The sequence below is a fragment of the Homo sapiens genome, chromosome 10 (assembly GCF_000001405.40).
Source record: "Homo sapiens chromosome 10, GRCh38.p14 Primary Assembly".
NCBI classification, from domain to species: Eukaryota; Metazoa; Chordata; class Mammalia; order Primates; family Hominidae; genus Homo; species Homo sapiens.
The window spans coordinates 97,821,897-97,849,841 of record NC_000010.11 but is presented as its reverse complement, the minus strand read 5'-3'; the positions used below and the strand labels follow the sequence as shown (position 1 = coordinate 97,849,841).

General features: G+C 49.5%; 2 long non-coding RNA genes across 2 annotated transcripts, besides 2 other annotated features; one reads left to right on the top strand and one right to left on the bottom strand.

Moving 5' to 3' along the window:
* Window positions 1–43: 43 nt before the first annotated feature.
* GOLGA7B-DT (GOLGA7B divergent transcript) lies at window positions 44–21,364 on the top strand. The gene is made up of 3 exons (NR_108035.1): window positions 44–176; window positions 20,121–20,248; window positions 21,208–21,364. It is a non-coding gene; the product is annotated as a GOLGA7B divergent transcript (long non-coding RNA).
* Window positions 7,326–8,268: an enhancer, noted in NCBI's record as "NANOG-H3K27ac-H3K4me1 hESC enhancer chr10:99601331-99602273 (GRCh37/hg19 assembly coordinates)". NCBI's record gives its function as "activates a minimal SCP1, AML or CMV promoter by ChIP-STARR-seq in naive H9 embryonic stem cells {active_cell/tissue: H9 hESC(naive)}" and the evidence as "EXISTENCE:reporter gene assay evidence [ECO:0000049][PMID:30033119]".
* Window positions 8,410–27,945, bottom strand: LOC107984260 (uncharacterized). Its single transcript, XR_001747563.2, has 3 exons — window positions 27,154–27,945; window positions 8,908–9,017; window positions 8,410–8,442 (listed from the first exon to the last, which is right to left on the bottom strand). It is a non-coding gene; the product is annotated as an uncharacterized LOC107984260 (long non-coding RNA).
* Window positions 8,769–9,968: an enhancer, noted in NCBI's record as "CDK7 strongly-dependent group 2 enhancer chr10:99599631-99600830 (GRCh37/hg19 assembly coordinates)". NCBI's record gives its function as "activates an origin of replication core promoter dependent on BRD2, BRD4, P300/CBP, MED14 and CDK7 cofactors, with strong dependence on CDK7, by STARR-seq in HCT116 cells {active_cell/tissue: HCT116}" and the evidence as "EXISTENCE:reporter gene assay evidence [ECO:0000049][PMID:35650434]".

The window sequence follows — 27,945 nt, the reverse complement described above, 5'->3', positions numbered from 1 at the left end:
CGCGAGGCCCCGCCTCCCCTTCCTGCCCTCCCCCTCGTGAGAGCCCCGGAGCTCTGCGCTCGCTTCCGTGGCCCCCGGGACATCCAGCCTGAAGGACAGTGGGGCAGGAATTTTTCCGGGGCAAGACGCTTCAGCCTGCAAGGCTGACCGCTCCCGAGCCGCTCGCAGGCCCGCAGGTGAGGCCTCTCTACCTTTCCAGCCACCCCCAGTGCCCCGGCTCTACCCCTCCCTCGCCCCGCCCCCAGCTTCCTCTTTAGAATAATTTCTTTTCTTTCTCTCCCTTTTCCTCTCTGTGTGCCCCCCCCCCATATACACACAGTCAGGCTTGCACGGACGGCCCCTCTTTTCCCCTCTCCTTTGCACTTCCTGGAACCCCACTAGCTAGACAAAGATCCTGCCGACCGCAGAGAATCATTTCCTTTCTTTAAATACGTGCCCACATTTCGTTCTCAGCCATAGCCTGGGGTCCCTTCTTTCAGGCAGCTCCAGAATTGAAGCCAGTCTCTCCTTGCTGCTCTTCCTGGACCTGGTCCCCACCCTTTACTCTTCCCTCTCTCCTCTGCAACCCGAGTTTACATACACGCACCACCACTACCACCACCACTCAAAAACCACAAGCAGATGGTGCCAAACCGGTATGCTCACTCTCCAAGGATGGCAGGTCTGGCTCTGGTGCCACCTTCGCACTTTTGACATCATAAATTCCAACTAAATGATCTATTTGTTTAATAAAAAGGAGACCAGGTGCAGTGGCTCACACCTGTAATCCCAACACTTTGGGAGGCTGAGGTGGGAGGATTGCTTGAGCCCAGGAGTTCAAGACCAGCCTGGGCAAGACCCTGTCTGCACAAAAAATGAAAACATTAGCCGGGCGTTGTGATGTGTGCCTGTGGTCCCAGCTACTCAGAAGGCTAAGGCAGGAGAATCACTTGAATCCAAGAGTTCAAGGCTGCAGCTAGCCATGATTGTGCCACTGTACTCCAGCCTGGGCAATAGAGCAAGAGCCTGTCTCTTAAAAAAATAAAAATAAGGCCGGAAGCAGTGGCTCATACCTGTAATCCCAGCACTTTGGGAGGCCGAGACGGGTGGATCACCTGAGGGCAGAAGTTCAAGACCAGCCTGGCCAACATGCTGAAACCCCATCTCCACCAAAAATACAAAAAAAAATTAGCCAGGCATGGTGGCACCCGCCTGTAGTCCCAGGTACTCAGGAGGCTGAAGCAGGAGAATTGCTTGAACCCGGGAGGCAAAGGTTACAGTGAACTGAGATCACACCATTGCACTCCAGCCTGGGCGACAAGAGCGAAACTCTGTCTCAAAAAATAAATAAATAAATAAATAAATAAAATAGACATAAAAAAAAGGAAACACCAACACAAGTGCCTTTTTACATACCCATAATACCCCTTGGTCTCTTTGAGGGGTGGTGGGGTGTGCTCCTCTGCAGCTCACTGCTGCCTGAGAGTCTGAAGCCCACACACAGGGAGAACCTGGCGGCCAAGAGACCTGGCCCAGGCTTTTCCAGCTGTATAACCTCGAGCAACTGTCTTGTTTTCTGAGCTTATGGTTCTCTTTCTGTAAAATGTGAGTGTTGGATTTCACTAGACTGTTTCTAGGACCTTTTGTTTTTTCTCCAACCTTTTATTTTGACATTTTTAAACATACCAAAATGTTGAAAGAATAGTACAATAAACTATGCCATCTACCTAGCTCCAACAATTGCTTTTTGCCACATTTGCTTTATTGATAGATATGAAAACAGAGCTATATTTGCCTAGATTATCAGAAGGTGACAGATATCGTGGCCGGGCGCGGTGGCTCACGCCTGTAATCCCAGTACTTTGGGAGGCCGAGGTGGGCGGATCATGAGGTCAGGAGATTGAGACCATCCTGGCTAATACGGTGAAACCCCGTCTCCACTAAAAAATACAGAAAAATTAGCCGGGCGTGGTGGTGGGCACCTGGGGAGCTACTCCCCAGCTACTGGGGAGGCTGAGGCAGGAGAATGGCATGAACCCAGGAGGCAGAGCTTGCAGTGAGCCGAGATTGCGCCACTGCACTCCAGCCTGGGTGACAGAGCGAGACTCCGTCTCAAAAATAATAATAATAATAATAATAATAAGGTGACAGACATCGTGAGGTTTTATCTGTAAGTACTTCAATGAGATTTTATCTGTAAGTACTTCAATTCACCATGCATCTCCCAAGAAGAAAAGCGTTATCCCAACTAGGCACAACACCATTCTCATGCTTTATTTTATTTTATTTTATTGAGATAGGGTCTTGCTCTATCACCCAGGCTGGAATGCAGTGGCACCATCTCAGCTCACTACAACCTCTGCCTCCTGGGTTCAAGTGATTTTCAGCCTCCCAAGTAGCTGGGATTACAGGCACGCACCACCATACCCAGCTAATTTTTGTATTTTAAGTAGAGACAGGGTTTCACCATGTTGGCCAGGCTGGTCTCAAACTCCTGAGCTCAGGTGATCCGCCCACCTCAGTCTCCCAAAATGCCAGGATTACAGGCATGAGCCACCGCACCCAGCCAATTATCATGCTTTTAAAATGCCCATATTATCTAATATTCTAGAACAGTTTGTCACCCCTAAAACACATTAATAGCGATGACCCCTCAAAAATTTTCCCAGAACTTTTCATTTTTAGTAGCTAACATTTAGTGAGCACTTACCATGTGCCAGCCCATATGCTACACACTTTACATGTATGATCTTACGTAATCCTCACAATTACTCTTTGAGTTGTGTTCTTGTGATCTTTTTATTATTCCCACTTTATAAATGAGGGAACTGAGTAAGTTGCCCAAGGTCATAGGGTTTGTGGGGAATGGAGACAGGATTCAGACATGGGCAGTCAAGCTCCAGAGCCTGTGTGGTTGATCCTCCTAACTGTATTGCCTCCCTCCAGCATCTGGTAGACCATAGACTAGCAGAGCAATGACCACATCTCCAGCTGCCTATTTTGCAGATGAAAACGCTGAGTCCCAGAGTGTAAGTGACATGCTAAAGAAGTTAAAGGCGGGTGTCTCATTCTACCTTATAGTTTGGCATAGGATTTGGCATAAAGGACCAAACAGAATATCTATGAATCCTGCAGTGGTCACTGGTAATAAAAGAACACATAATCTGATGATCTCCATGTAAATTTCACAGTTCCTCCCACTTGATTTTTATCACATCAATTAGACAACCTTCTGGAAACCATTCTCTTCACCTGATGACTAGATATCTGGATGAGGCCATTCAACAAATCCATTCATCAACATCTATTTGTTGAACACCTACTGTGTATCAGGCACTCTTCTAGGAAATTGGGATACAGTCGTGACTAAAAATGCAAAGCCTCTGTCCTTATTGAACTTATATAGTAATGGGGGTAACAATCCATGACATAAGCAAATATGTGTAAAATATGTCAAGTTTTGATCACTGCTAGGAAGAAAAGTGTGATCACTGCTAGGAAGAAGATATGGTAAGGAGATAGTGATAGAGAGGGCTTATTTTCGAAAGAATAGTCAGGGAATACTTTTTTTGATAAGGTGAAATTTGGGTAGAGCCCTGAAGGAAGAGAGAGAACTAGACATATAGATACCTGGAGGAAGAGTGACAAGGCAGAGAGGACAGAATCCAAGGGCCCTGACGCAGGACTGGGCTTGGTATGTTCAAAGAATAGCAGGAGGCTGGGCGCAGTGGCTCACACCTATATCCCAGCACTTTGGGAGTCCAAGGCAGGTGGATCACTTGAGGACAGGAGTTCAAGAACAGACTGGCCAACATGGCAAAAGCCCATCTCTACTAAAAATACAAAAATTAGCCAGGTATGGTGGTGGCTGCCTGTAATCCCAGCTACTTGGGAGGGTGAAGCTGGAAAATCACTTGAACCTGGTAGGCGGAGGTTGCAGTGAGCCGAGATTACACCACTGCACTCCATCCTGGGTGACAGTGTGAGACTCCGTCCCCAAAAATAATAATAATAAAAACAAAGAATAGCTGGAAGACCAGTGTAGCTAGACCTGAGGTGAACAAGGGGAAGAGAGTTGGGAGTTGAGCTCAGAGAGGTAGCAGGAATCAGGTCTTCCAGGGTTTTGTAGGCCCTGATAAAGACTTCAGATTCTACTCATAAAGTAAGATGGCAAGCCTAAGAAGGTTTAGCGTAGGGGTGTGACATCATCTAATTGCAGTTTTTGAAAGATTCCACTGGATGTCAGAGGGGAGGCAAGGCTAGAAGCTGCAAAACCAATTAGGAGACTGTTAGAGCAGCCCAGGCTTAGAAGATGTGGTGGTGGCTTAGAATTTGGTAGTAGCAGTAGAGGTGGGAAAAAGTGGCTAGATTCTAGATATAATTTGAAAGTAATGCTGAGAGGATCTTCTGATGGATTGGATGTGTGGTATAAAGAAGGCAGGCCGGGCATGGTGGCTCATGTCTGTAATCCCAGCACTTCGGGAGGCCAAGGCAGGTGGATCACTTGAGATGAGATCAGGTGTTCAAGACCAGCCTGACCAACATGGCAAAACCCTGACTCTACTAAAAATACAAAAATTAGCCAGGCATGGTGGCACACACCTGTAGACCCAGCTACTCAGGAGACTGAGGGAGGAGAATCACTTGAACCCAGGACGTGGAGGTTGCAGTGAGCCGAGATTGTGCCACTACACTCCAGCCTGGACAGAGAAAGACTCTGTCTCAAAATAAATAAATAAATAAGAGATCGTCAAAGATGAGTCTAAGTCTTGAGATCTGAGCCATCAGAAGAAAGGAGTGGCCATCTACTGAGAGGGGAAGACTAGGGACTGAGCAGGCCTGAAGGGATAGAGAACACAGCATTTTGGTTGTGTTTTGTTCACTTAGGTTTGAAGTTTGATGTGCATGTTATAAGCAAATTATAAGGGAGGATGAGGAGTTGGAGATATAACTTCAGGACCCTTCAGTATGTGGATAGCATTTAAAACCATGGGACTAGAGACATCATCGAGCGAGTAGGCATAGCTAGAAAAGCTGTCCAAGAACTGATTCAGGACACTTGGTCACTGACAGGCTGGAAGACAAAAGACTGAGAAGAGGGGCCAGTGAAGTAGGAGGAGATTCAAGAGAGGGCGGTGTCCTGGAGCCAAGCAAAGAAGGCTGGAAAGAGAGCCTTGCCTGCCATGTTGAATGCTGCTCACAGGTGGAATAAGATGAGGACTGAGGAATGACTACTGGACTTGGCAGCAAGAAGGTTCGCCAGTGACCTTGACAAGAGCCATTTTAGTGGTGCAGGGATAAGATCCTGATTAAAGTGGGTTTGAGAGTTAGCATGGAGGAGAGAGAGGAGAGGTACTGAGAGTGTAGACAATTCTTTCTCCTGCAAAGGGAAGCAAAGACTAGCATGGGGGTCTGAGAGAGACATGGAAGCAAGGGAGTTTCCTTTCAAGAGGGAAGACATTAGGGCATGTTTGTCTGCTGACAGGAATCATCTAGTAGAGAGGGAAACACTGATGATTCAGAAAAGAGAGGGTTAATTGCAGGAGCAAGCCCTTAACAGGCCAGCAGAGAATGGGACACAGGGCAAACAGAGAGGGGATGGCTCAGGAGAGGAGCACAGACAATTTCCCACAGAGGCGAAAGAAACACAGTGGACTGGATTAAGAAAATGTGGCACATATACACCATGGAATACTATGCAGCCATAAAAAATGATGAGTTCATGTCCTTTGTAGGGACATGGATGAAATTGGAAATTATCATTCTCAGTAAACTATCACAAGAACAAAAAACCAAACACCGCATATTCTCACTCATAGGTGGGAATTGAACAATGAGAACACATGAACACAGGAAGGGGAACATCACACTCTGGGGATTGTTGTGGGGTGGGGGGAGGGGGGAGGGATAGCATTGGGAGATATACCTAATGCTAGATGACGAGTTAGTGGGTACAGCGCACCAGCATGTCACATGTATACATATGTCACTAACCTGCACATTGTGCACATGTACCCTAAAACTTAAAGTATAACAATAAAAAAAAACACAGTAAATGGCCACAGATGGGAGCTGGTTAGGAGGTTTTGTCACATAAAGAAAAACCTGAGCTCCACTCCTGCTCCCCTTCAACTAGCCAACGGCTTTTCACACATCATTCAACCATTACCTCTAGAAAGCTTGGTCCATCATTCAGCCAGTACCTATAGAAAGCTTGCTCCGTGCCAAGCATGGAGCTGGCACTTAGCCCAGAGAGAGTTCTCCCCATTGACGTCACAGGACTAGAGTCTATAGAGAGCTTTGAGATCACTCATGCAAGGACAAATGATCCCTTTTAATATCTAGCTCCTCTGGTGGGAAAGAGGCTTTCACAGCCTCACCCTATTTCCCCTACATTGCCTCCAGGGTTGTAACAATCTCAACAGACCTCAAGTCTTAGAGGCCTCAAAGTGGAAGCCACAGAGAGAGACCCACATTCAGAGTGGGCAGCATTCCATGTTGGGCTGACTCAAGGCTGTGATGAGATGCTAGAGGATGGGATGTTCCCAAATGCAGTCATCTGGACTTTAACTCCTATATTTGAGGCAGAGAGCTCTTTGAGATTTAATCTGACTAATCATTATTATCCAGCTGCCTTGGGACAACCTAGTCCTATGCAAGAGCCTAGCTCTTTGATGTTTTTTATCATAAATTAATGAGTTCACCCACAAAATAACATCAAAGAAGATCCACTAACATTCAGTGTTATCATCCTCCAATCTGCGGCTGCATTGGAAAGCCTCCCCATAAAGGACCACAGCCGGAAAAAGAAACCAACTGAAAGATTTGGAAATCATAATAGCTGGAAAGAGATGAGAGAAAAACGAACTCTTGCAGACGGCAGAGAAGCCAGGGAAAGAGCTAGCAAACCTCAGGGAGATGAAGAAAAAGCAGGGGAGACGAGGAAATTCTCAGCACTTGGGTCTGGATGGAAAACAATTGCATGAATGCTTGAGGGGGAAATTGTGGTCTGGAAAGCCTTAAACAATGTCATCTCATGGCACATTGCGGAGACTACTAGGAAGTATGTGGTAGGAAACGGCATCCCTGGAGTCAGATGACATAGGTTTCAACCTCTGGCTCTCCTATTTACTATGTAATCATTAGCAAGTCTCAATCTCTCTGAGCCTCTGATTTCTGATCTGTAAAATGGTGGCAATAATTCTCCCTTCCCAGATAGAATTCATCCAAATATTAGAGGCTTTCTTTTTTTTTTATGGTTATGAAAACAAATTTATTGTTAAAATTACTATTTTTAAAATTCTGTTCTACTGTGAGTTTTAACATTTCTGTTCCCATTAAAACATTTTTTTAAAAAAAGTTAGTTTTAGATTGCAATTTGGCTTAATTTTATTTTATTTATTTATTTTTTTTTTTAATTGATCATTCTTGGGTGTTTCTCGCAGAGGGGGATTTGGCAGGGTCATAGGACAATAGTAGAGGGAAGGTCAGCAGATAAACAACTGAACAAAGGTCTCTGGTTTTCCTAGGCAGAGTGTTTGTGTCCCTGGGTACTTGAGATTAGGGAGTGGTGATGACTCTTAACGAGCATGCTGCCTTCAAGCATCTGTTAAACAAAGCACATCTTGCACCGCCCTTAATCCATTTAACCCTGAGTGGACACAGCACATGTTTCAGAGAGCACAGGGTTGGGGGTAAGGTCATAGATCAACAGGATCCCAAGGCAGAAGAATTTTTCTTAGTACAGAACAAAATGAAAAGTCTCCCATGTCTACTTCTTTCTACACAGACACAGCAACCATCCGATTTCTCAATCTTTTCCCCACCTTTCCCCCTTTTCTATTCCACAAAACCGCCATTGCCATCATGGCCCGTTCTCAATGAGCTACTGGGCACACCTCCCAGACGGGGTGGCGGCCGGGCAGAGGGGCTCCTCACTTCCCAGTAGGGGCGGCCGGGCAGAGGCGCCCCTCACCTCCCGGACGGGGCGGCTGGCCGGGCGGGGGGCTGACCCCCCCCACCTCCCTCCCGGACGGGGCGGCTGGCCTGGCGGGGGCTGACCCCCACCTCCCTCCCGGAAGGGGTGTGGGCGGAGACGCTCCTCACTTCCCAGACGGGGTGTCAGCCGGGCGGAGGGGCTCCTCACTTCTCAGACGGGGCAGCTGCCGGGCGGAGGGGCTCCTCACTTCTCAGACGGGGCAGTTGCCAGGCGGAGGGTCTCCTCACTTCTCAGACGGGGCGGCCGGGCAGAGACGCTCCTCACTTCCTAGATGGGATGGCGGCCGGGAAGAGGCGCTCCTCACTTCCTAGGTGGGATGGCGGCCGGGCAGAGAGGCTCCTCACTTTCCAGACTGGGCAGCCAGGCAGAGGGGCTCCTCACATCCCAGACGATGGGCGGCCAGGCAGAGACGCTCCTCACTTCCCAGACGGAGTGGCGGCCGGGCAGAGGCTGCAATCTCGGCACTGTGGGGGGCCAAGGCAGGCGGCTGGGAGGTGGAGGCTGCAGGGAGCCGAGATCACGCCACTGCACTCCAGCCTGGGCACCATTGAGCACTGAGTTAACGAGACTCTGTCTGCAATCCCGGCACCTCAGGAGGCCGAGGCTGGCGGATCACTCGTGGTTAGGAGCTGGAGACCAGCCCGGCCAACACAGCGAAACCCCGTCTCCACCAAAAAAATACGAAAACCAGTCAGGCGTGGCGGCGCGCGCCTGCAATCGCAGGCACTCGGCAGGCTGAGGCAGGAGAATCAGGCAGGGAGGCTGCAGTGAGCCGAGATGGCGGCAGTACAGTCCAGCTTCGGCTCGGCGTGAGAGGGAGACCGTGGAAAGAGAGGGAGAGGGGAGACCGTGGAAAGGGGAGAGGGCGAGGGAGAGGGAGAGGGAGAGGGAGAGGGAGAGGGCTATTAGAGGCTTTCTCTAGATGTTACCTGACTTTTCCAAATCTTGTCTTTCAAGAGGAAAACAGGAAAAGATTTATGGTGATGCCTTGAGAGAGATCTTCCCACACTGACATTTCTTCCAGGCCCAGTGGGATTTCCTAAAGCATAGAAGAGATATCGGCAAACATGCTTCATTTCACTCGGCAAGTAGTTAATTAGGCACCCACTGTATGCCTCAGAGAGATGACCATGGGATGTTTCCAACCCCCTAAGGACACAAAATATAATCAAGTGATGGCCAGGGTCTGTGATAAGTGCTAAGGTGGAGACAGATTCTCCACAGTTGGGGGCCCAGAAAGGTCTTACTAACTACGTGGCATTTGAGCTTGGCCTTCAGGGATTAGTGTCAGATCCCCAGACACCAGATGAAAAACAGTGTGCAAAGGCAAGGATGCATGAAAGGTGCCTGGAAACACAAAACCTCTGGAACCTCAAATTCAAGAAAGCAGCTGCCAGGCAGACACAGCAACAACTGCAGAGGCCCCAGAAACATGAATGGAGTGGACCTGCCCTAAAAATAGAACAAGGGCAGGCTGACTATGACACATGTTTGGAAGTGGAGTCACTAGGAGGTGACTAAGCGAAAGGGGAGTTGCCTCCCTCCCTCCCTTTCCTAACTTCATTCATAGTCTCTCTCTCTCTCTCTCTCTCTCTCTCTCTCTCTCTCTCTCTCTTCCCCATCTCCAGGAAGTGGAGTGGGAGGCAAGGTTCTATAAGTAGATTCTATAAGCAGATTCACAGCTGCACAGGAGAGACTGCAGATACTGAGATGACATTGGGGAATTATTGGCCAAAATGTTTACCTGTTGTTACAATAGCCACTGTGCTGGAGGCCAGACAGAATGCCCACCGGACCTTTGTTCTAACAGTGGCTCCAGAGGCCCTCTGAAGTAGCAATCAGGAATGACCTACTGCAAGGTCTCACTTTTACACCGAGCAAACTGGCAGCAAACTCACCAATCATTTCAAACCATAGCCAACTGGGGGCAGATTGCAAGGCTTCTGGCTAAATTAAGGAAATTATTTCAGGAAGTAAATAGACATGAGCACAAAGGGTAACAGGTGCTTATAAAGCATCATTAATTACGAGAGCCAAAAGGGATCATAGAGTTCGAACCAATTTTAGTTGCAGAACCCTTTGTTCAAAGTCTCGCATGAAAGTCAGATACATAAAACAAATAAAAGAAAGTGGATTTGGAGGAAATGCGGCAGAACTTGCTTGCTCTACCACCCTCCACTCCCTGCAGAAGTCCCAAAGGCACCTCCCATCACCGTGGACCCCCTCAAGGGCTCAGCAGATTTTTTTCTAATCATTAAAGTAACACATGCCTATGATTTTAAAAACCCAAACATACAGCAAGACTTATTTTAAAAAGGCAAGAGTCCCCCACCAGCTCTGTCCTGAGCCTTCCCACTCTGTCTTCTTTCCTCTAGAAGAAATGACTTTTCACTCTTTTCGTGGTTTCTGTTTTAAATTCTTCTGATAATGATCTTTACTTTCTAATGATATACCTGTACTTTTTTTTTTTTTTTTTTTTTTTTTTTGAGACAGAGTCTCGCTCTGTCGCCCAGGCTGGAGTGCTGTGGTGTGATCTTGGCTCACTGCAACCTCCACCTCCTGGGTTCAAGTGATTCCCCTGCCTCAGCCTCCCTAGTAGCTGGGATTACAGGTGTGTGCCACCAAGCCTGGCTAATTTTTGTATTTTTATTAGAGACAGAGTTTCACCATGTTGGCCAGGCTGGTCTCGAACTCCTGACCTAAAGTGATCCGCCTGCCTCGGCTTCCCAAAGTGCTGTGATTACAAGTGTGAGCCACCACGCCTGACCTATATACCGGTACTTCTATGATTTATTCACTTTAGAAACTGTCCTGTTTTCTTCAGTGACAGAAGAGAACTTGGGTCACACCGCTGCCCTCCCCTCCCAATATAGTTATGTCACTATTTAAACTTAATTTTTATCAAAGTAATACATGCAATTAGTTTAAAATTCCAACCAGGGACAAAGGCTTATGCGGGCAGTAAAACACAGAAGTTGTGTCCTATCTCTTCCTTCCCTCCCGTCCTTCCCAATCCTCCTTCCCACTCAGGTAGGTTGGCTTATGGAAAACAGAACTCTCTGTTTAGTCCCCCTTCTAATCCTTTTCTGTAGCACTCATCACCTTTTCTAGAAAACTGTATAATTTACTTATTATGTCTTCTGTTTGTCTTGCCTGCTAAATTGCAAGCTTGGGTAAGGATCTTTGCTATGTTCACTGATGTATCCCAAATGCCTAGAATAATGTCTGGTTCAATAAATATTTGTTGAATTGATTAAAGCAGAGTTCTCTGGAAAGGGAGCTTCTTTGAGATACTGTTAGAATCAATCATTTTATATCTGATTTGTTCTGTGGGAGGGCGTATAAATGAAAATTTTATTTTGTAGATGATACAAATTTCTAGACAATAGGTGTGGTGCCATAATAGATAAAGACTTCAGTTCAGACCCACTTATTGGCTTTCCATGTTTGGACAAATTGGTCCAATTACCTTGGAAAGAAAGTAGCTATTTGCTTAGCTTGGTAGAGACTGGGAAGGACATGAATGATGAGGAAATGGCCTTTGCCAACCTCACTCTCCCAAGGTCAGTTGCTGCTGTGGAAAGGAGAACCAGAGGTCCCAGGGGTAACTGGGCCACCAGAGGCCCCAGAGCCAGAAGCTCTTAGCCACAGGCTAGGACTGAGCATCTCCTATGTTCCAGGTACTGTTCTGGGCACTGGCGGGAAGGAGAGAACACCATTCTCACCACACCGATGCCCAGCACTATCAGTCCCATGTTGCAGACGCATCTTGAAGTCCATCAGGGCCAGGAAGCCTTTCTTGAACCATCCCACTCCCAAACACAGGACTTTCTAGACATCTCTCTCATGGTTTCTATCCTACCATGCTTTGCCTGGTAAACTCCTTAGAGGTTTTGGAATTCCTGACCATTGCCCAGGTCACAGGGCAAGTTCCGGCAATTGGAACATTTCCATAGTCTTCCGAGTTCTAGCAGCCATTTCACCATTCCCTGCCTCCACGTCATCTATTCCTCCTGCTGGGCTCCTGATACTCCCCTGGACCTAAAGTTATCTTGGCTAAAAAGTGCTGGGGTCAGGCGCGGTGGCTCACGCCTATAATCCCAGCACTTTGGGAGGCCGAGGCAGACGGATCACTTGAGGCTAAGGGTCCAGACTAGCCTGGCCAACATGGTGAAACCCCATCTCTATAAAAAATACAAAAAGTAGCCGGGTGTGGTGGTGTGCACGTGTAGTCCCAGCTACTCAGGAGGCTGAGGCAGGAGAATCACTTGAACCCAGGAAGGGGAGGTTGCAGTGAGCTGAGATCGTGCCACTGCACTCCAGCCTGGGTGAAAAAGCGAGACTCCACCTCAAAAAAAAAAAAAAAAAAAAAAAGTGCCATCCCTCCTCACCAAGACTACAACACCCAGGACTCCTCTCTCTCCTGTGTCCAGCCCATCTGGCCCCCACACACCACCACCCCCAGCCCTTCTCACCACTTCTCTTCTACACACACTCCATGCCAGCCACAGCCAGAGTAGACTGATTTTCCACTCTCTCAAATGTGCTGTGCTCTCTCACTTCTGAGCTTTCACATGTGCTCTACCTGGAACATTCCTTGCTCTTCACCTGCCTTTTCACCTGGCTAAACCTCTTCTAGTTTCGATTTACAATTTCCTTCCTTGGGATTAAGGCTTTCCTGTCACTTTGGCCTTGGTCATGTGTACCCCTATTACGAGCACCCTATACTTTCCCCATAATAAGTCATACTTTCTACAATTTATTTGTTTGTCTTCCCTATCACACCATAAACTCCTGAAGGCAGGAACTTTGTCTCCTCATCTGCATTCCCAGTGCCTAGAATAGAACCTGGAACATAGTAAATGCTCAGTTAATATTTATATAGGCAGTTGAGTTGACTTACAGGAAAGGGAACATCTCCATTCAGTTCCCCAAGGTTGAGATAGGGAGAGGCATCGTTCCAATCATAAAGAACTGTATGGTCTTGTCTGGGAAATCTGGCTTAGACACCATGACAAAGTGAGCATCTAACAGGTGCCCCAGGGACCTATAGAGACAGCAAGAGTTATAGGAAAGCTGAGCAGGGAGAGATCCCAGCAGTCTAGTAACAGAAGTCTTCCCCTCACCCATAGGACTAGAGGTAGATACGAAAGATGAGGTGTTTTATGCTTAGGGAAGGAAGATGCTAGACAGTGTGGGGGTGGAGAGTGGGCAGCTGGAAGTTAAGAAAGGGGAAGATATGTCTGGAAACAGCAGCCCATGCTGGTGGATTTGAACTACTCTGTCAAGAACCAATGCTGGAGCCAGATCATGAAGGGCCATGAAAGCCAGGACGGGGCCATATATGCAATGGGAGCATGTGAGGGCATCAGGAAAGCAATGTATTGGAACCATCCATCTGGAAGCAGTTTTGGGGGTGGATGAGAAGGGGAAGGACCAGGTGGTGGGGCATGGGGCATGGCCTAGGAGTGAGGACAAAGGGACAGATGCAAGAAACATTTTCAGTGTGGTCACCCAGGGCTGCTGCTTCTGATTGAGTATATGAGATGGAGAAGGGAGGGGTGGACAAAAGAATGAAGGACGACCCATCCATCTCCATGGCTGGAAGATGCTGTGGTCAGAAACCACAAAGGCAGACCAGGTGAGAATTACACATGGCAGATGTAAGGGGAGAGGAGAAGCATTCGTGGTTTTTCAGGACTGAAGGGACTCCATCTCAAAAAAAAAAAAAAAAAAAAAAAAAAGACTGGGAAAAACTTGGGAGGGCTCTATAGAATTGATGCAATGAGTGATATCGTTTGTGTATTTGTCCCCACCCAAATCTCATGTTGAATTGTAATCTCCAGTATTGGAGGTGCAGCCTGGTGGGAGGTGACTCAACCATGGGGGTGGATTTCCATGAATGGTTTGGCATCATCCTCTTGGTGCTGTCCTCACAGTAGTGAGTGAGTTCTTGCAAAATCTGTCTGTCTAAAAGTGTATGGCACCTATGTGACATTCCTATTCCCCTTTTGCCTTCCACCATGATTGAAAGCTCCCTGAGGCTTCACCAGAAGCCAAGCAGATGCTAGCACCACGCTTCCTGTAGAGCCTGAAGAACTGTGAGCCAATTAAACTTCTTTTCTTTATAAATTACCCAGTCTCGGGTATTTTTTTAAGACAGGGTCTCATTCTGTCACCCAGGCTAGAGTGCAGTGGTGCTATCATGGTTCATTGCAGCCTCAACCTCCCAGGAAAAAATGATTCTCCCACCTCAGTCTCCTGAATAGCTGGGACCACAGGCACAAGCCACCACACCTGCCTAATTTTTGTATTTTTTGTAGAGACAGGGTTTCACCATGTTGCCCAGCTGGTCTTGAACTACTGGACTCAGGCAATCTGCCCTCCTTGGCCTCCCAAAGTACTGAGATTACAGGCACAAGCCACTGTGCCAGGCCGTGTCTCAGGTATTTTATTATAGCAATGCAAGAATGGCCTAATACAATAAGAATGTGTCATTTGACCTCAGGAGAGGGTTAAAAAGGGCTATGAGAAAGACTGGCTGTCTAGCCTTGGGCAAGATCTTCAACTGAGGTTGAAGATACCTCAGTTCAAATCCCAGCTGTGTCACTTACTAATTCCATCACTGTAGATGAGTTAATTACCATCTCTGAGCTTAGGCTCCACATCTGTGAAGTGGAAATTATAATACCGAAGTCACAGGAGCTTTGTAGGGAGTAAAATGACCTCTGGAAAGAACCATGTTCAGCTCCTGGTCTGTAGCAGGTGTTCAGCAAAAGTAGCTCATGGAGAGAAGAAGTCAGTGTAAGGAGAAAAAGACGATGGCAGCTGGAGATCCTGGACCCTGGAGCATCACAGAAGCCCAGGAGGGAAAAGCCCTCCAGAAGGTGGATGAACAGTGTCAGGTATTATAGAAAGTTCAGGAGGAACTGGATTGGCAGGAATTACATTACTGAGTCTTTAGAGAGTGCGATTTGGAGTACAAAAAGAACAGGATGTACACTGTACAAAAAGTACAGTGAACAGAATGACAGAAAAAGCAAGACAGAGAAATCACTACAAAGGCCAAAGTCAGGATTTTGGGGCTGCAAATAGATTATCCTATGAACATCATTTGAGCAATAAAGACATCTGATTAACATAACAAGCAGTCTATAGGGTGGCAGCTCCAGAATGAGCTCACTGGCCCCCAGTGTCCCTAAGAATCCAGGCCTTTTTCATCCTTTCTCTACATCCTGAGCACATTGGCTTCTTGTCCTCGGACTTACTGCCCAGAGTTGCAAGGTGGCTGCTGCAGCTCCAAACATCATGTTCTCATATATAAACATCCATGGCAGGCAGAAGGAGGGAGAACCTACTTCCTTTTTTCAGGGAGATAAATCTTTCTCAGAAGCCTCCCAGTAAACATGCCCTTGTATCATATTGACCAGAACCGGGTCCCATGGCCATGTCTAGTTGCAAGGGCAGCCAGGAAGCTCTCCAGCATTTTCAGACTCTATAGGAAGAGGAAGGCAAGGAAGAAGAGGTTGAACATAGCCAGAGATTGGATATGTGACCAACACTACCTACCACACTACTCATTTATGAAATCTGGAAATCATAAATATGGGGACACTGGAGATGATGGGGATGAAGGGGAGAAGTAGGCTCCTACATTAGAGAGAAAAGAGCCCAGGCTTGAGAGAGAAGGAAGGCTGCATCCTTTTCTGCCATAGCCAAGAAGGGTAGAGGGTGGGCCTGGAAACAGACTCTGAAGAGGAGAGAGTAACCTTAACCTTGGCAAAGACAAAAAATGGCTGCTTTGAAGAATGCACTGGAACATTGAGGGGGACCACAATGAGATACCACCCTCTAAATCAACAAAACTTAAAAAGACACCAACCATGGGCTGGGAAGGCTGTGGATCAACAGGAATACTTCTATACTGCCGACGGGAGTATCAGCAGGTACAGCCGCTTTGGAAAACAATTTAGCCTTACTCCATAACCCAGCAATTCCACTCTTAGATCGACACCATTGCATCTGTGGGTCCAGTTACAAACCAAAATGTTCTCAGCAGCACTGTGAAAGAAAAAACCTGAAAACAACCCCAAACATCCTTAGGTCAGAAAATGAATAATTATATCGTGATCTACTCACATAATAGAATAACTATATAACAGTAACTGGCCGGGCACAGTGGCTCATGCCTGTAATCCCAGCACTTTGGGAGGCTGAGGTGGGCAGATCACTTGAGGTCAGGAGTTTGAGACAAGCCTGACCAACATGGTGAAACCCCATCTCTACTAAAAATACAAAAATTAGCGGGGCGTTGTGGCCGGCACCTGTAATCCCAGCTACTCGGGAGGCTGAAGCAGGAGAATTGCTTGAACCAGGGAGGTTCAAGTGAGCCAAGATCGAGCCATTGCACTCCAACCTGGGGGACAAGAGTGAAACTCCATCTCAACAACAACAACAAAGAAGTTACAACACGGATATCAGAAAAACCAGGTTGAACAAAAAAGGCAAAGGAAAGATACATACAGTGTGGTTGTGTTTATATTTACATAAAGTTCCAAAGCATGCAGAAACTAAAACAATATGTTACTTGGGTATATAAACATAAGTGCAAAACTATAAAGAAAAGAAATAAAAAGATAAACACAAAATTCAAGAAAGCGATTAGCTCTAGGCAAACTTGGGGAGACGCAGACGCAGAAATCCAAATGGGAAAGAAATGCTCTCCTTAAACTGAGCGGTGGGTACACTGGTGTTCGCTGTGTTCTCATTCTTTATACTTTACACAGATGCCAGAAATATTCTTTCGTACCCACTGAATAACTAATTAAAACAATTTGAAAATTAAAAAGGAGAGAGAATGCAAGTGAGATGAAGGCACACCTGCGAGCCCACTGTGGGGGCAGAAGCCCTGCCCTTTGCATCACCATCTGGGACCGCCAGAGCTCAGACAACATGGAGTTGAGACAACTAGATGTGTTATGGCTAAAGTCTGGCCAGTTCTGTCTGGGTGTCACTTAGAATGGGGAGAACCTCGCATTTGGGAGGGAAAGGATGGTGGACAGGAGTGGGATGGAGAGAGACAGCCAGACATGAGGATGTTTTTCCTTAAGGAACTAGTGGTGAACAAAAGAAAAGAATTGCTCCCTGCATACAGGGCTTGCCCTGGGCCTGGAGCAGCCCGGCTTCCCACTGAAGCCTCCTGACACGTTTAGGGAGGGGGAATTACCATCTCCATTTCTTTTTAAGAGATAGGGTCTCACACTGTCACCCAGGCTGGAGTGCACATCATAGCTCACTACACCCTGGAACTCCCAGGATCAAGTGATCCTCCCACTTCAGCCTCCTGAGTACCTTGGACTACGGGCTCACATCACTGCACCCAGCTAATTTTTTTTTTATTTTCCATAGAGACAGGTTCTTGCTATGTTGCTCAGGCTAGTCTTAAACTCCTGGCCTCAAGTGATCCTCCTGCCCCAGCCTCCCAAATTGCTGAAATTATAGGCATGAGCCACCGCGCCTGACCTTCCTTCTCCATTTTACCAAAGAGAAGACCTAAGTTATTAACTTGCTTATGCCACACAGCAAGTCAGTGGGAGAGGCAGCTACTTGCAATCATATGTAACCTCCTCCCAGTCTGGGCTGCCGGCCCTCCAGCTTCAGCTCATGCCCACTGCCCTTCCATCCATCCTTCTACTCAGCCAAGACTCTCCTGCCCAGGGGTTTGCACATCCTGTCACCTTTTTCAGAAACCGACCTCCCACATCTTTCCCTAGCAGGGTCTTTCCCATCTTCAGGTCTCAGCTTCAATGCCACCTGCTCAGAGGCCCCTCTTGACCACCCCACTTCAGTGGGACCCCTTGTTACTCTCCTTCCCTGGACTCTGCCATTTGCCCTCCTTGTGCCTCAACTGTCCATATGCATCAGCTGCTTTGCTTGCTTACTGTCTTTCCCATGCACTGGAACATATGTCCCCTGAGGGCAGGGAATGCATGCCTATATTTACCATGGCATCCCCACTGCCCAGCTGTAGATCTGGCATATGGCAGGTCTTTGACAAATGTTTGTTAAATAAACGAACAGCTGAACTAGAGTAGTGAAAGAAGGCTGAGACAAGAGACATGCAGACAGACTCAGACCCATGTCCCCGCTCAGAGAGGTGTCTATCCACACCCTCTGTGCCCAGGAGAGCAATTGGAAAGCCCCTTCTGCCTTCAGACTAGCGTCTGGGCAGTCCTGGATGCCCAGGAAGGGAGGAGGTAAGACCCTCCAGATGGCATTGTTACTGGCAGCTTGGGCAACCCCTGCCCAGTGGGGATGTTCCCTCCCTCCATCTGCTCCTAATGAGATCTTTCCTGACTGCAGCATTGGGCTCTTGGCAACCACTGTTCCAGAGGGTACCCTGCAATTGGAGGGTGTTCAGAGATGAAATATCTGAAACAATGCAGGAACAAGGGAAATGGAATAATTATAACAGATGAAAAGACGCACACTCTGGGCTTTGCCAAGTTAAGCAAAATAGGATAATTGCATGCAAGGCTCCAAGGGGTGTGAAGGCCTTTGAGGGAGGGGAAGTATTGGGGATAACATGAGAGGGTATAATTATGCAAAATGGCATGAGATGAATCCCTGGGAATTTTAGGCCTAGTGGCAGGAACCATTTTCTCCCAGCAAAAGCTCTGAGGTTGGACAGCAGTTTCCTAATGGAAGGAGTGGAGTCCCACACTGATGGCATTTAAGCCGATGTTAAGCCAAGCCAAGCCTGGAGACTCTACGAGTACACTGGCCTTATTCTAGAAAGCTGGGATCAGGTGTTAGGGGGCAGAGGTGATCTGATGGCAGGGTGGTGCAATGGTCATTTGCACAGCCTTTCTGGTCAGCAAGAGCTGGATTCCAGTCCCAGCTGGCAGCCTTCTAGCTGTGTGTGACCTTGGGCACATGGCTCAACATCCCAGGGCCTCAATTTCTGCATCCATGAAATGGTGACAATACTACCTGTGCTATAAGGCTATCAGGATGATTAAATGTGATAACATATAAGCTCATGTCACAGTGCCGGGTATACAGGAAGAAGGCATTAAGTGTCAGCTACAAAATCTGCGTGGAGCCACTCATTGGATTTTGCTAGGATATCTGGTCCATGCTAGAAGGAGGATACAGGCAGATCCCTGGAATCCCAAGGCTTTGATTGGCTCTGAGGTCCAACTTCCTGCAGGAGCTGCTTGGGAAGTGCAGGTGATAGCAGGCCCCAGCTCAGACATCATAGCTCATAACAGTGTGAGATTTCTGAGAACTGGAAACCCTCAGCAGGAGAGGCTGGTTAGGCAGGTGCCACATCTTCCTTTCCTTTATTTTCTAGGCAGGGAAAACCAACCAAACTCCAGCCTTTTACTGGCACCGTGGGCACAAGGCCATCTGGCCTCAGGACCCTACTGGAGAGATGAGTGTTTTTTTGTAAGCATCTGTGCCAGAACAGGTTTACAGAAGGACCCAATGTCTAGTTTATAAGTGCCTGTTAAGAGTATTTCAGAGATGAATGGACTCACTTCCCACAAACCGAGGGAAGATGAGAGTCTGACCAGGTGGGAGGAAGCCAGGCCAGCCAAGCCTCAGCAGCAGAGAAGCTCCTCCCCCTGAGTGTTCTGGTCGGGACACAGGTGATTCCTGGCTCCCTGTCTTGTAGCCTCTGAAACTGACTTGGCTCCCAAATGTCTTAGAATGAAAGCAGGGAAGGGGCATTTCCTTCAGCCGACAATGAAAACATAAGAAACCATGTGATAAAAGCAGCATAAACAAAGTGCTATATGGGGAACAAAGGAACAGTGTACAGTCCTTCCTTTTCTGCACAAAGCTTCTTGGGAGGTGTGGGACCTGGGAGGGGTGGGACCTGGGAGGGGTGGGATCTAGGAGGTGTGGGACCTGGGAGGGGTGGGACACGGGAGGTGTGGGATCCGGGAGGTGTGGGACCTGGGAGGTGTGGGATCCGGGAGGTGTGGGATCCGGGAGGTGTGGGATCCAGGAGGTGTGGGACCTGGGAGGTGTGGGATCCGGGAGGTGTGGGACCTGGGAGAGGTGGGATCCGGGAGGTGTGGGAGCTGGTAGGTATGGGACCTGGGAGGTGTGAGAAGGCTATTTTGACCAGCAGAGTTGGGAGGAGAGCAGTCCAGACTACAGAAAGAGCACGGACAGAGGCGTGGAGAGGAGGCAGTCAGCAAGTTCTTGTAACCGGCCCATTTGGAATTAGAGACCATCCTGATCCTCACCAATCCCCACGTGAGTTGCTCCCTGTGACTTTCTACCTGATCCGGTATGGGGATGTGGGACAAGACATGGAGGCAGGAAATGAAAGTGGGGTTCCCTGTGGGGTCCCCAGCACACTGTTCAGGCTGGTGGGGTGCAGTGGAGACAGCAATGGATGGGGAGTCAGGAAATCCAGGTTTGAACCCTAGCTCAGTCCTTTACAAGCTGTGTGACCTGTGACAGGTAACAGGCCCTCTCTGGACCTCGGGCTCTCCATCATTGACAGAGGCAGGTGGGCCTCATGACCCTCAGGGCTCTCCCAGGCCTGACACCCTGAGATTTGCAAATTCTCCTGCGTTCTAGCTGTTCATGTGTGTCTGGGTTTCTGTCCCTCATTTGAGTCATTTTACAAACAAGAGAGCAGGAAATCAGGATCCTCGAGAGGTCTGTGAAATTGAAGTCACTGAGTGCCAGAGGATCTACCAAACACAACAGGCAGAGACTTCCCTATGGCTCCAGGGTGGCCAGCTTCATCAGCCCTGACTGCCCAGACAGAAAGAGCAAGGTGGGAGAAACAGGTTCTGCATGGAGAGCCACAGCCAGAGAGATGCTGGATCCCAGGAGGAGGAGGCTTCGCCTGTGCCCAGGGCAGGTTCTAGGGGACCAGCTGGCTCCTGCATTGCTTCAGATAGCCCTGGGATAGCTGGGTACCATTGATGGCTCAGCACTCAGCAGGGAGAAGACCTGACCCACATCCTGGTGCAGCAGGAAACCACTCGCATTTGTTTACCCTTACTCTGTGCCAGGCCCCAAGCCAAGGGCCTCATATCCATCATTTCACTTAGTCCCCCCAGCCATCCTGGGAGGAGTGGTACCTCTGCTACACCCCTTCTACAGATGGGCAAGGAACTTCCCCAAGAGGACACATCCAAGTAGGAAAGTCAGGATTCCAACTCCAGTCTATCTGATACCTGATCTTGTCCTCTTTTCAGAGGAGTCTCCACTCCTCTAGTGGGAATCCAGAGACTGGAGCCCAGCCTATTCCAAAATCCCACCACTGCCAGCCTGCAATTCCATTTGCCACTCCTCTGAATGAAAGCACTGTTGTCTCCTGAAGGTCCCAGAGGGACACAATAAATGGAGAAGGTATCGGACTGTCAGTCACTCCAACAGGCCAGGCTATAAGCAAGTGGGACATGGGCCAACAAGGTTTGACAGGGGATGAGGCTGGGACTATTGGGAGGGGAGGGGGTCTGAGAGACACCTGCAGGTGCTCCAGGAGGTGTGCCTAAAGAAAGAGGAGCTTGGTACAGCAGAGTGACTGAGTGACTGCGGTACCTTACTCCAATACTTGGGTGCAGCCCAGTGATCTAGAAAGAACAGCTCCCTGGGGCAGAAATGCACAAGGCCAGAGAGCTTTTAGAGAGAAGGCCTCTCTGGCAGAAGGAGTTTCGGCTGGCTAGGGAAGACTGCAGCTGGGGCCCTGCTCCCAGGATCTAAATCAGGCCACCCAGGCTCCAGGGCCCCCAGGCACTGGACTGCTTTGGGAACTGGGGAAATTCCTCCGGAATGAGATGGCACACAGGCTGCCAGCCATCCTCCCGCGATGCTCACTGAGCTTCTGGCAGGGAGGGAGCCCAGAGCCAGCAGAGGGGCTGCATTTTGAAATCAGTGGGATGACTGCAGGTGGGAGAGGCTGTCAGCAGGAATCCTGCAGCTCCGGGGCTCCTGTGGAAGAGACGGGAGGGATGCAGGAAACGCCTTTCCTAAGAAGCACAGCAAGCTTAGAGGATCCTGGTCATGGCCCAGCCACACCAGCGGGGGGGGCTGGCCCAACCTATCCTCCAGAGATCATATAAAAAATAATAACATATTGCTGAGCACCAATTCTGAGCTAGACGCTGGAGATACCGTGGGGCAAAAGACAGGCAAAGGGCCCTGCTCTCATTATGTTCTAACGGGAGTAACAAGCAATGCAACACAAATACATAATAAACTAGAAGGTGATCAACACTTAGAAGGGATATAGAAGAGGGAGGAAAGATGGGGAGGGGGGGCAGGGTGCTGGCAAGGGCCAGGGGGCAGTTTGCAATTTTAGGCAGCACAACCAAAGACCTCACTAAAGAGGTGACGTGGCTGGGCATGGTAGCTCACGCCTGTAATCCCAACATTTCTGGGGGACAAGGCAGGAGGATTGCTTGAGCCCAGGAGTTTGAAACCAGCCTAGGCAACATGGTGAGACTCTATGTCTACAAAAAATTTTAAAAGACTAGCTGGGCATGGTGGCGCATACCTGTGGTCCCAGCTACTCAAGAAGCCAACCCAGGAGGATTGCTTGAACCCAGGAGGTTGAGGCTACAGTGAGCCATTATTGCACCATTGCACTCCAGCCTGGGTGACAGAACAGGACCTTGTCTGAAAAAAAAAAAAGTGACATGTGATTGAAGACCTGAAGGAGGCTAGATAGGGCAAGCCATACGGACACCTGGGGAGGAGCATTCCAGGTGCAGGAGCAGCAAGTGCAAAGGCCCTGAGGCAGGAGTACTCTGGCAAGTTCCAGGCATGGTGAAGAGGCCAGCAGCTAGAGCAGAGTGACAGGAAGGGAGCAGCATGGGAACACAGGGAGTATGCTAAGGGGCAAATCAAGTCAGGCAGGGCCTGAAGACTGTCACAAGGATTGTGGCTTTTCCCTTGCATGAAAGGGGAGTCCCTGGAGGCTTGTAAGCAAAGGAAGGATATTATCTGCCATATGTCTTAACAGAACTACTCTTGCTACTGTGTTGAGAACAGATGAAAGAAAACTGGGAAACCCAGTTATTATTATCACCATCACCATCACCATCACCATCACCATCACCAACTATAGCAGCAACAGCCAGTTACTGCCCCTGCACCAGGCTCACTGCCACCCACTTCACTGTTACTGTCTAGTTTACATCTCACAACAACCTGTACAGACAGACGGCCTTATTTCTCCCATTTTATAGCTGAGGAAACTGAGGCTTGGCCAAAGTCAGAAGGTCACACAGATACACGCCCTCCATAATCCAGCCCACGCTCTGGCTCCTCTGCCCAGCCTCGTCTCCCACACCTCCCTTCTCACCTGCACCCAGCCTCCCACCCCAGGGAGCTACTCCCAGTTTCCCCAACTCCACGCATCCTTCCAGGCCTCTGATTTTTTTCATATGCTGTTCCAGCTGCCTAGAACTCTTTTCTCCCATACCTAACTGGCATGTGAATTTCAACCCATCTTTTGAGAGACAACTCAAACTTTGCCCCTTTGGGGGACCCCTCCCTGATTGCCTCCAGCACAGCAGCTCATGGCCACCTCCCCAGAAATATGAGGCATTGCAACTACTGCGCAGCTGGCCTCCCACATACCATGTGAGCGCATGGCCGGGGGCTGGAGCTCATCAACCTCAGTTTCCCCAGCAATCAGTTTTGCAACCTGACAGGTCTCAGGCTCAAATCCTGCTGACACTCTGTTGGCCTAGGTGATTTTAAATTTCTCTGTTGCAATTTAATTCTGAGTCACACTTCCTTCATGCATGTCCATTTCTGTGCACGTACCCCTGACCTTGGACAGATACACGCAGAGCCTTGAGCTGATGGGTGCCATTGAGCTTCAGAAGAACGATGCTTGTAACAGAGGAGGAGGTGCACGATGCAGAGGGAGCCCTGTGCATTTTAGAATCAGCCAGACCTGAGTTCACATCCCGTTCTGCCTCTCACTGGCTGTGTGGCCATGAGCAAATCATTTAACATGGGCCTTCCTATCTTTGTCTATAAATGAGGCAAGTGATATCCACTCCCATGAGTTTTGTGAAATCTGGAAATTGTACAAATGCAATGCCTGGCCCTGAATGTGCCCTCAAGATGTGGCATTAATGTCTCCTTGCCTGTCCCGTCCCTAACCCCAGGAGTATCCTATACATTACACTTGTCCACCGTGCTCTTGGGAGGCCTCATGGGCCTCAAGGGCTAGTGTACTAAGCCAGAATCCCCCACTTCTGGCCCCAGTCCTCTCTCTGAGGCAGGGCCTATAGTTTCCTGGCAGTTTCCCCTGCCCTGGGACCTGGAACCCTGCCCCTGGCCGGCCCCACTGCCTGGAAGGTCCACGTGCTCACTCCTTCCCGCCCACCAACTGCCCTGCCTCCATTGCTACCAGGCCTTCCTGCCTGATTAGCCAGGACAGCCACACTTCCAGCAGACAGTGGGAAACAAGTAACTAAGGAGGGGAGATGCCACAGCAAGGAACAGGTCAGAACAACATTTGATGCCAGTCACTAGGCAAACACCCCAGATCCTGGTCACTCAAGGTATTGTAACATGCCAGGTCAGGGAGGATTTGAAGGTGCAACGCCCTCACTTTACAAATGAGAGGCCCAGAGGGGGTAAGACACTAGCTCAAAGTCACACAGCGAGACAGGAGGAGGCTTTGGACTTGCCCCTGGCCGCACTCTTCCTACTGCACCAGGCTCCCCCTCATCAGGGGCCACGTTTGTTTTTTGTTTTTTGTTTCTTTTTTCTCCAGATGGACTCTGGCTCTGTCACGCAGGCTGGAATGCAGTGGCACAATCTCGGCTCACTGCAACCTCCGCCTCTTGGGTTCAAGCAATTCTCGTTCCTCAGCCACCCATGTAGCTGGGATTACGAGTGTGCACCACCACACCTGCTAATTTTTGTATTTTTAGTAGAGATGGGGTTTTGCCATGTTGGCCAGGCTGGTCTTGAACTCCTGGCCTCAAGCAATCCTCCAGCCTCGGCCTCCCAAAGTGTTGGGATTACAGGCGTGAGCCACCGCACCCAGCCAGAGACTACTGTTGAACTGGACTGACCGCAGGAGCAAAGCAGCTTGTTGAAGGCCCTGTAGCTCTGTTTCCCTTGAAAGATATCAAAACCCTTTCAGCATCTTAATCCCCAAAGGCATGACACCTGACATCAGTCTCTTGAGTGGCCTGCAGGGAAGCCATTGTCCAAGCTGTGTGCAGCCACCAAATCCACTGACTAAGCTCTGAATCCGCAGTCTCCTGAGGTTGCCGTTTGTTCTCTGTCTATGGACTGCTACTACATGTGCAGCTGCACTGTGCTTGAAACCTCAACAGCGTATCTCAGGGGTGGGTAAGGGAGGCTGGGATAAATGGAGCCCCAGCCTCTGAAGGCCTGACGTGGAGGTTGTGCAGCTCATCCCTGGGGAGTCCTATCTAGTGGGGGCTCGGGGGGCGACTCGGGGATCTGTACCATAAGCAAACTCCTCCAGGGATTCTGATGTGCTGCCATGTTGGGGACCACCAGCCTAATCCAGCCCTTCCCTCATGGAGTCCCCTCCTCCACACCCTCACAGAAGACCACTCATCGGGGGACTGGGAGCTCATCACCTCACAGGTGGCAGTGCCCCAGCAGTGAGTACACAGGCTGTGCCACGCTGAAATCTGCGTCCAGAATCCTCGTCTGCCCTCTGTGGCTGACCAGTCAAATGTCTCTTCTTCCTCAGGAACAAAATCAGACCCTATTGCAGCCCTGTGTCCAACCGCTGGCCGCCCAGATACTGTTCCTGCCCGGGGGGCTCCTGGTGTCCCCTTAGGCCTGACAAGGGAGAGACTCTCCGTGTCCAGCACGCAGGCTCCATTTGCGGGTAACTGCTCCTCCTCCTGCCCCACCCACACACGCCCATCTGTGCCAGACACCGCCGAGCACCAGGACACAGTGTCCTCCCCAGCCTGAGACCAGAGCAGGCCTGATCAGGAACACGCAGGACCCTGCCTTCTCTGCCCAGTGGCCTCTTGCTCCTGGTGCCATCGTGTCTACTTGAGATATTTCCAAATAGAGAATATAGAAACAATGAGCATTCCTCCCAAGAAACCGGGCTTGAAATCAGAACACCTGGGTCCTCCCAGGGCCCCCATCACTTCCAGCTATGGGACCTTGAGCGAGTCCCAGGGCCCATCTGGTGAATGGGGCTGCTGAGGGAAATTCAGACAAGCATCAGAGCCCACCGTGCCCTTCCCTCTCGGTGTCAGGTGTTTTCTGCCTTTGCCTGAGCCGTGGCCACACTCCCTTGCTAATCCTTCAGACGACTGACACGTATACAGCTGTTGCCCTGGCCTGAGACCCTGATGTGGCCTGACCGGCATGGGCCCCTACCCAATGCACTAACTAGCAGCAAATGAGCCTTATTAAAAAATATTTGAGGCCGGGCATGGTGGCTCATGCCTGTAATCCCAGCACTTTGGGAGGCCGAGGTGGGTACATCACTTGAGGTCAGGAATTCGAGACCTGCATGGCCAACGTGGCAAAGCCCTATTTTTACTAAAACAAAAAAAAAATACAAAAATTAGCCAGACGTGGTGGCGTGCGACTGTAATGCCAGCTACTTGAGAGGCTGAGGCAGGAGAATCACTTGAACCCGGGAGGCAGAGGTGGCAGTGAGCTGAGATCGTGCCACTGCACTCCAGCCTGGGCAACAGAGCAAGACTCTGTCTCAAGAAAAAAAGAAAAGAAAAAAGGCCAGGTGCAGTGGCTCTCACCTATTTATAATCCCAGCACTTTGGGAGGCTGAGGAGGGAGAATTTCTTGAAGCCAGGAGTTTGAGACCAGCCTAGGCAACACAGGGAGACCACATCTCTACAAAAACTTTTAAAATTAGACGGCTGTAATGGTGTGCGCCTGTAGTCCCAGCTACTCAGGGGGCTGGGATGAAAGGATTGCTTGAGCCTGGGAGGTTGAGGCTGCAGTGAGCCAAGATCGCACCACTGCACTGCAGCCTTGGCAACAGAGCAAGACTATCTCTAAATAAAAAAAATTTTTTTTTAATAATTGCATAGAGCTGCCTAGCACAGTGCAGGGACATGAGGGTTCAGTAAATATTTGTGGTATCTAATTTAGGAACACCAACCTGTACCCACCAAGGAGAATAAAAAATATACCTTAGTACTCACCTAGTTCAACCTTTTCATTTTACCAATGAGGGTTCCCAGAGAAGGGAAGTGACTCATCCCAGGTTTCCCAGCAACTTTAGTCCATAGTGGCTCAGTTTGCCCAGCCAGAAATCCCCAATGCTCCCATCGAAGGTTGTGGCGCTGACAACATCACAGCTGAGAGGAGGACTCCATGGTGCCCAGAACCCCCGCAGCGCCATTCACCAGAGGTGGACAACACTCCCTCCCGGCATCCCCCTGGGCCTGGCTTCTGACCAGAACCCTGCCCTGGACATCTCAAAAGCCCTCAGGACCTCGGTGCTGCCACCTGCTCACAGAGTGTGGCGGGTACGGGGGTGGACAGCCCACGTCCCTCTGCCAGGTTATTTATAAAGTGTTTTCAGATGAGTCAGGCACGGAGCTGCCCAGCACCACCAGGGACTACCCCCTAGAAATGCTAGAATGATCCTGAGCTCTGGAACCCCACCCCACCCCTTCATAGCCTGCTTCTCATGGAAAGCTAGAGGCAGGAAGGTGAGGCCAGGGCTCTGGGGCTGTTGTGATGCCCCCCGTGAGCCCGGGCAGGCCAGGCTTGGGAGACAGATGGGGAGGCCCCAGGAAGGAGAAGAAGGGCCTCGGACAGGCCCCCTCCGGGCCACAGACCACATGCCCCTTCCCCTTCCCCCTCCCAAACAAGAATGACGGGACAAGCCCAAGAAGACAACCCCCACCCTGTGCCCCAGGCGCTGGCTGCTCGCACCTCCATTCCTGTGTGTACTGCTCTCCGCCTCCGCCAGGAGCCCAGCTATTTCT